At 38.7% G+C, this 9,237-nt stretch overlaps 2 annotated features.

The window, feature by feature from the left end:
* Positions 1,975-2,780: an enhancer, noted in NCBI's record as "OCT4-NANOG hESC enhancer chr2:201067941-201068746 (GRCh37/hg19 assembly coordinates)". NCBI's record gives its function as "activates a minimal SCP1, AML or CMV promoter by ChIP-STARR-seq in naive and primed H9 embryonic stem cells {active_cell/tissue: H9 hESC(naive and primed)}" and the evidence as "EXISTENCE:reporter gene assay evidence [ECO:0000049][PMID:30033119]".
* Positions 7,327-7,856: an enhancer, noted in NCBI's record as "H3K27ac-H3K4me1 hESC enhancer chr2:201073293-201073822 (GRCh37/hg19 assembly coordinates)". NCBI's record gives its function as "activates a minimal SCP1, AML or CMV promoter by ChIP-STARR-seq in naive H9 embryonic stem cells {active_cell/tissue: H9 hESC(naive)}" and the evidence as "EXISTENCE:reporter gene assay evidence [ECO:0000049][PMID:30033119]".

Consider the following 9,237-nt stretch of genomic DNA (forward strand, 5'->3'; position numbering starts at 1 on the left):
TTCAGGTTATCTAAAGTCAAGATAAAGGAAAGAATCTTAAGAGCTGTGAGGCAAAAGCGTCATGTAACCTATAAATGAAAACCTATCAGACTAACAACAGATTTCTCAGCAGAAACCCTACAAACTAGGAGGGTTTGAGGTTCTAGTTTTAACCTCCTTAAACAAAACAATTATCAGCCAAGAATTTTGTATCCAGTGAAACTAAGCCTCAAAAATGAAGGAAAGATACAGTTTTTTCCAGACAAACAAATTCTGAGACAATTCACCACCACCAAACTGGCACTACAAGAACTGCTAAAAGGAGCTCTAAATCTTGAAACAAATCCTCAAAATACATCAAAATGGAACCTCCTTAAAGCATAAATCTCACAGGACCTATATAACACAATGAAAAAAATAAAAACAAGGTATTCAGGCAATAAATGGCATGATGAGTAGAATAGTACCTCACATCTCAATATTAATGTTGGATGTCAATGGCCTAAATGCTCCACTTAAAAGATACAGAATGGCAGAATGGATAAATATTCACCAACCAAGTTTCTGCTGTCTTCAGGAGAGTCACCTAACACATAAGGACTCACATAAACTTAAAGTAAAGGGGTGGAAAAGGATATTGTATCACACGAGTCCATGTGAAGAGACCACCAAACAGGCTTTGTGTGAGCAACAAGGCTGTTTATTTCACCTGGGTGCAGACAGGCTGTGTCCAAAAAGAGAGTCAGTGAAAGGAGATAGGGGTGGGGCCATTTTATAGGATTTGGTTAGGTAGTGGAAAATTACAGTCAAAGGGGGGAGTTCTCCGGCAGGCAGGGGCAGGGGTCACAAGGTGCTCAGTGGGGGAGCCTCTGAGCCAGGAGAAGGAATTTCACAAGGTAATGTCATCAGTTAAGGCAGGAACCAGCCATTTTCGCTTCTTTTGTGATTCTTCAGTTACTTCAGGCCATCTGGATATATACCTGCAGGTCACGGGAGATATGATGGCTTAGCTTGGGCTCAGAGGCCTGACATTCCTGCCGTCTTATATTACTAAGAAAAATAAAACAAAATAGTTGAAGTGTTGGGGTGGTGAAAATTTTTTGGGAGTGGTATGGAGAGATAGTGGGCGATGTTTCTCAGGGCTGCTTCAAGCAGGATTAGGGCAGCGTGGTAACCTAGAGTGGGAGAGATTAAGCTGAAGGAAGATTTTGTGGTAAGGGGCGATATTGTGGGGTTGTTAAAAGGAGCATTTGTCATATAGAATGATTGGTGATTGCCTGGATGTGGTTTTGTATGAATTGAGAAACTAAAATGAAGACACAAGGTCTGAATAAGAGAAGGAGAAAAACAGGTATTAAAGGACTAAGAATTGGGAGGACTCAGGACATCCAATTAGAGAGTGCCCAAGGGGGTTCAGAGTAATTACTTGCTTGGTTGGTGAGCTTTTGGGCTCATCCTTGACATATTCCATGCAAATGGACATGAAAAGTGAGCAGGAATAGCTGTTCTTATATCAGACAAAACAAACATTAAAGCAGCAGCAGTTAAAAAAAGAGGAATATTATATAGCAATAAAAGGACTAGTCCAACAGGAAAATATCACAATCCTAAATATATATGCACCTAATATTGGAGATCTCAAATTTATAGAACAATTATTACTAGACCAAAAAATGAAATAGATGGCAGCACAGTAATAGTGGGTGACTTGAATACCCCACTGACAGCACTAGACAGGTCGTTGAGAGAGCAAGTCAACAAAGAAACAACGGACCTAAACTATACCCTCCAACAAATGGACTTAACAGATATTTACAGAACATTCTACACAACAACTGCAGAATATATACTCTATTCATCAATACATGCAGCCTTCTCCAAGACAGACCATATAATAGGGCACAAAACAAGTCTCAGTAAATTTAAGGAAGTTGAAATTATATCAAGTACTCTCTCAGACCACAGTGGAATAAAATTAGAAATTAACTCAAAAAGGAACCCTCGAAACCATGCACATACGTGCAAATTAAATAACCTGCTCCAGAATGATCATTGCGTCAACAATAAAATCAAGATGGAAATTTAAAAGTTTGAACTTTGAACTCAATGATGATAGTGACACAACCTATCAAAACCTCTGGAATACAGCAAAAGTGGTGCTAAGAGGAAAAATTATAGCATTAAATGCCTACACCAAAAAGTCTGAAAGAGCACAAACAGACAATCTAAGGTCACACTGAGGCAGGAGAGTAAGGCCTGGAGACAGGGAACGTAAGGTTGATCCATGCTGACTTCCTAGAACTAAATCAAATGGAAGCGCTTCAGCAATGACAGGAATGTGAATGGCTTTGTAACTTCACTTCATTGTCTCCATTTACACCATTTACACTTTCTAACTTTACATTCACCCTCTCCATTTACATAGACCACACACACCAAGTAACATCTTCTCCATTTACACTTTGTAACTTCACATTCATCCTCTGCATTTACATGGATCACACACACCAAGTAACATCCTCTCCATTTACATAGGGCACATTCCAAGTAAATGACTTTGTAACTTCACTTCATTCTCTTTATTTACATAGAGCATACACCAAGTAACCAATGGGAAACCTCTAGAGTATTGAAACCCTGGAAAATTCTGTAACCGGGGCTTTTGAGCCCCTATGCTCAGGCCGGCTCCCACACTGTGGAGTGTATTTTCATTTTCAATAAATTTCTGCTTTTGCTTTCCTCACTTTGTTTGTGCATTTTGTCCAGTTCTTTGTTCAAGATGCCGAGAACCTGGACACCTTCCACTGGTAACAACACCTCACAGAACTGGAGACACAAGAACAATCCAAAACCAAACCAACCAGAAAAAAAGAACAAAGATCAGAGCAGAACTACATGAAATTGAAAAAAAAAATTTAAAAGTAAATTAGCCAGACTAATAAAGAAGAGAGATGAATCAAATAGACACAATAAAAAATGATAAAGGGGATATCAGCACTGATCCCACAGAAATACAAACTACCATCAGAGAATACTATAAACACCTCTATGCAAATAAACTAGAAAATTTAGAAGAAACGGATAAATTCCAGGACATATACACCCTCTCAAGACTAAACCAGGAAGAAGTCAAATTCCTGAATAGACTAATAACAAGTTCTGAAATTGAGGCAGTATTTAATAGCTTACCAACCAAAAAAAAAAGCCCAGAACCAGATGGGTTCACAGCCAAATTCTACCAGAGGTACAAAGAGGAGCTGGTACCATTCCTTCTGAAATTATTGCAAACAATAGAAAAAGAAGGAATCCTCCCTAACTCATTTTATAAGGCCAGCATCATCCTGATAACAAAACCTGGCAGAGACACAAGAAAAAAAGAAAATTTCAGGCCAATATCACTGATGAACATTGACACAAAAATCCTCAAATAATTACTGGCAAACCAAATCCAGCAGCACATCAAAAAGCTTATCCACCACAATCAAGTTGGCTTCATCCCTGGGCTTCAAGACTGGTTCAACACACACAAATCAATAAACATAATCCATCATATAAACAGAACCAATGACAAAAACCACATGATTATCTCAGTAGATGCAGAAAAGGCCTTTGATAAAATTCGACAACCTTTTATGCTAAAAACTCTCAATAAACTGGGCATTGATGGAACGTATCTCAAAATAATAAGAGCTATTTACGACAAACCCACAGCCAATATCATACTGAATGGACAAAAGCTGGAAGCATTCCCTTTGAAAACCAGCACAGACAAGGATGCCCTCTCTCACCACTCCTATTCAACATAGTATTGGAAGTTCTGGTCAGGGCAATCAGGCAAGAGAAAGAAATAAAGGGTATTCAAATAGGGAGAGAGGAAGTCAAATTGTCTCTGTTTGCTGATGACATGATTGTATATTTAGAAATATATATATCTCATCCCCAAATCTCCTTAAGCTGATAAGCAACTTCAGCAAAGTCTCAGGATACAAAATCAATGTGCAAAAATCACAAGCATTCCTATACACCAATAATTGACAAACAGAGAGCCAAATTATGAGTGAACTCCCATTCATAATTGCTACAAAGAGAATAAAATACCTAGGAATACAAAGTACAAGGTATGTGAAGGACCTCTTCAAGGAGAACTACAAACTACTGCTCAAGGAAATAAGAGAGGACACAAACAAATGGAAAAACATTCCATGCTCATGGATAGGAAGAATCAATATTGTGAAAATGGCCATACTGCCTAAAGTAATTTATAGATTCAATGCTATCCCCATTAAGATACCATTGACTTTGTTCACAGAATTAGAAAAAACAACTTTAAATTTCATGTGGAACCAAGAAAGAGCCTGTATAGCCAAGACAATCTTAAGCAAAAAGAACAAAGCTGGAGGCATCATGCTACTTGACTTCAAACTATACTACAAGGCTACAATAACCAAAACAGCATGGTACTGGTACCAAAACAGATATATAGACCAATGGAACAGAACAGAGTCCTCAGAAACAATGTCACACATCTACAACCATCTGATCTTTGACAAACCTGACAAAAACAAGCAATAGGAAAAGGATTCCCTATTTAATAAATGGTGTTGGGAAAACTGGCTAGCCATATGCAGAAAACTGAAATTGTACCCCTTCCTTACACCTTATACAAAAATTAACTCAAGATGGATTAAAGACTTAAATGTAAGGCCTAAAACCATAAAAACCCTAGAAGAAATCCTAGGCAATACCATTTAGGACATAGACATGGGCAAAGACTTCATGACTAAAACAACAAATGCAATGGCAACAAAAGCCAAAATTGACAAATGGGATCTAATTAAACTAAGGAGCTTCCACACAGCAAAAGAAACTATCCTCAGAGTGGACAGGCAACCTACAGAATGGGAGAACATTTTTGCCATCTATCTATCTAACAAAGGACTAAATCCAGAATCTACAAGGAACTTAAACAAATTTACAAGAAAAAAACAACCCCATCAAAAAGCGGGCAAAGGATATGAACAGATACTTCTCAAAAGAAGACATTTATGCAGCCAACAAACATATGAAAAAAATCTCATCATCAGTGGTCATTAGAGAAAAGCAAATCAAAACCACAGTGAAATACGAGATCATGCCATTTAGAATGGTGATCATTAAAAAGTAGGGAAACAACAGATGCTGGAGAGGATGTGGAGAAACAGGAACACTTTTACAGTGTTGGTGGGAGTATAGATTAGTTCAACCATTGTGGAAAACTATGGCGATTCCTCAAGGATCTGGAACTAGAAATACCAGTTGACCCAGCAATCCCATTACTGTGTATATACCCAAAGGATTATAAATCATCCTACTATAAAGACTCATGCACATGTATGTTTATTGTGACACTAGTCACAATAGCACACAATAGCAAAGACTTGGAACCAACCCAAATGCCCATCAATGATAGACTGGATAAAGAAAATGTGGCACATATACACGATGGAATACTATGCAGCAATAAAAAATGATGAGTTCATGTCCTTTGCAGGGACATGAATGAAGCTGGAAACCATCATTCTCAGCGAACTAACACAGGAACAGAAAACCAAACCCTGCATGTTCTTATTTGTAGTGGGAGTTGAACAATGAGAACACATGGACACAGGGAGGGGAACATCACACACTGCAGCCTGTTGGGTGGTGGGGGTCTAGGGGAGGGATAGCATTAGGAGAAATACCTAATGTAGATGATGGGTTGATGGGTGCAGCAAACCACCATGGCACGTGTATACCTATGTAACAAACCTGCATGTTCTGCATATGTATCCCAGAACTTAAAGTATAACAAAAAAAAGCCACCAGACATTATAACATAGAGCCAAATTTTAATAAATGATAAAAATCTATTGAAAGTGCCTGATTGATATACAATTGGAAAGTCAAAAAAATTTTAATAAATGATAAAAAATCTATTGAAAGTGCCTGACTGATATACAATTGGAAAGTCAAAAAAAGTTTAATAAATGATAAAAATCTATTGAAAGTGCCTGATTGATATACAATTGGAAAGTCAAAAAAAATTTTAATAAATGATAAAAATCTATTGAAAGTGCCTGATTGATATACAGTTGGAAAGTCAAAAAAAATGAAAATGTGATTATATATATATGTATATGTACCATGAAATACCACTCAGCCATGAAAAAGAAATGAAATATTAATAATGACATTCACAGCAACCTGGATGAAATTGGACTATTATTCTAAGTGATGTAACTGAGAAATGGAAAACCAAACATTGTATGTTCTCACTCATATGTGGGAGCTAAGTTATGAGGATGCAAAGGCATAAGAATGATGCATTGGACTTTGGACACTCAGGGGAAAGGGTCAGAAGGGGGTAAGGGATAAAAGACTACACATTGGGTACTGTGTACACTGCTCGGGTGATGGTGCACCAAAATCTCAGAAATCACCACTAAAGAACTTACTCAAGTAACCAAATACCACCTGTTCCACAAAAACCTATGGAAATAAAAAAAAAGGAATATAATATATATTTTTTGAGATGGAGTTTCACCCTGTCACCCAGGCTGGAGTGCAATGGCGTGACCTCGGCTCACTGCAACCGCTGCCTCTCGGGTTCAAGCAATTCTCCTGCCTCAGCCTCCCAAGTAGCTGGGATTACAGGCATGCACCACCATACCAGGTTAATTTTTTGTATCTTTAGTAGAGACGGGGTTTCGCCATGTTGACCAGGCTGGTCTTGAACTCCTGACCTCCTGATCAGCCCACCTCAGCCTCCCAAAATAATTTTTTCTAAAAGACTACACATTGGGTACTATGTACACTGCTCAAGCGATGAGCACACCAAAATCTCAGAAATCACCACTAAAGAACTTATTCATGTAACAAAACACCACCCGTAACCCCCAAACCTAGCGAAATAAAAAGTAAATTTAAAAAAATGTGGTAAGTATACACAATGGGATACTATTTAGCCTTTAAAAAGGAGGAGATCCTGTCAATTGTGACAACATGGATGAATCTGGAAGAAATTATGCTAAATGAAATAAGCCAGGTCCAGAAAAATAACACATGATCTCACTTACATTTGGAATCTAATAAGGGTAAACTCATAGAAGCAGAGAGTAGAACAGCAGTTACCAGAGCCTGGAGTGGGGCATGGAGAGGGAGGGAATGAATTGTGGATCAAAGGATACAAAGACAGGAGAAAAAGGTTTTGAGATCTACTGCACAACTATTATCAATAATAATGTAGTTTATATTTCAAAATAACTAAGAGATTAAGAGAGTAAATTTCAAATGTCTCACCATAAGAAATAGTAGGGAAGCAAGATGATGGATATGTTAATTCGCTAGATTTAATCATGTCACCTTGTATACATATATCAAAACATCATGTTGTATGCTATACATGTCTACAATTATGACTTGTCAAACAAAAATAATATTAATAATAAATTTTTTTAATTGCATTAAAGAATACAAAAGTAGACTTGAAAAAAAGTTTGGTTATGAATAGAAAGGGGGAGATTGCTTGGTCGTTGGCTGCAAGGGGCCCTGGTATTAAGGAAAGGCGTGTGTGTGTGTATGTGTATGTGTGTGTATGTGTGTATGTGTGTGCACGTGTGTGTATGTGTGCATGCATGTATGTGTGTGTGTGTCTGTGTGCAAGCCAGTGTGTGTGTGCATGTCTGTGTGCGTGTGCCTATGTGTGTGCGTGTCTGTGTGCTTGTGCGTATGTGTGTGTGTCTGTGTGCACGCGTGTCTGTATCTGTGTGTGTGCACGTGTGTCTGTGTGTGCACGTATGTGTGTATGTGCACGTGTGTGTGCGTGTGTGTATGTGTGTGTGTATATGTGTGTCTGTGTATGTGTATGTGTGTATATGTGTGTGTGTGCGCGTGTATGCGTGTGTGTCTGTGTGCATGCCCGTATGTGTGTACGTGCACGTCTGTGTGCGTGTGTGTATGTGTGTGCATGTCTGCGTGCTTGCGCGTATGTGTGTCTGCGTGCACGCGTGTGTATCTGTGTGTGTGCACGTGTGTCTGTGTGTGCACGTATGTGTGCACGTGTGTGTATGTGTGTATGTGTCTGTGTATGTGTATGTGTGTATGTGTGTGCGTGTATGTGTGTGCGTGTGTGTGCGTGTGTGTGTGTTTGTGTGTGTATGTAGTGAGACTCCAGCTTATCTAGATGCAGATGGGAAAAGAAACCACTGGAGAAGGACATACTGAAAATATAAGAAAGAAGGAGAATAACCGATGGAGGGATCCCCGCAGCAGTGGGAGAGAAGGGAATCCTTCCCAGCATTCTAAAGGGAGAACAGGCGTTTGTGGATTTGGAAGCAGCATAATTATAATTCCATTCTCGCATCTCTTTTCTTATGAGGTGGGAAGCAAGATTATCCACTGAGAATAAGGGAAGAAGATGGGAAGCTAAAGACTGGAAGGGACCAGGCAAGGCTGGAAATACTAGTTCTTCATTGCCAATTTCAATCTCCATCTACTAATTTTTGTTAAACCTTTGAAGCCTATTATTGCTTGGCCACAATAGATTATAGTATAAGCATGTATGTAATTTGCATATAATCATATTTATTTATTCTTTTTTTTTTTTTTTTTGAGACAGGGTCTCACTCCGACACCCAGGCTGGAGTACAGTGTTGCAATCACAGCTCACTGCAGCCTCGACCTCCTGGGCTCAGGTGATCCTCCCGCCTCAGCCTCCTGAGTAGCTGGGACTACAGGTGCACACCACAATGCCCAACTAACTTTTGTATGATTTGTAGAGACAGGGATTTTCCATGTTGCCCAGGCTGGTTTCAAACTCCTGGACTCAAGCTATCTACCCACCTCAGCCTCCCGAAGTGCTGGGACTACAGACCTGAGCCACTGTGCCCAGCCTACATATAATTATATTTAGCTATTTTTTGTTTAACACATCAACTTTTTGTCACTTAAAGAAATCATGAATTCTAGTCTAGAATATTTTCTCTAAGTCACTCTGTATTATTGACTTGACCTTGGAATTTAACCACAACACAAATTTATTTGAAATGTTTGATAAAATTGGCTTCTTCTAAAAGGAAAAAAAAAGAAATACTAGTTTTTATGGAGAATGAGGCAGAGAAACAGAATTTCTGGTGGTGTTAGGAGCCCTGTTGAAACTGGTGCTCACAAATGTGTGGTGACACAAATCTGCTGCACTGTGATGTTTTATTTAGCAGAATTCACTCAGTAGCTCAAATTATG

Source organism: Homo sapiens, chromosome 2, assembly GCF_000001405.40.
Source record: "Homo sapiens chromosome 2, GRCh38.p14 Primary Assembly".
In the NCBI taxonomy this organism is placed as follows: Eukaryota; Metazoa; Chordata; class Mammalia; order Primates; family Hominidae; genus Homo; species Homo sapiens.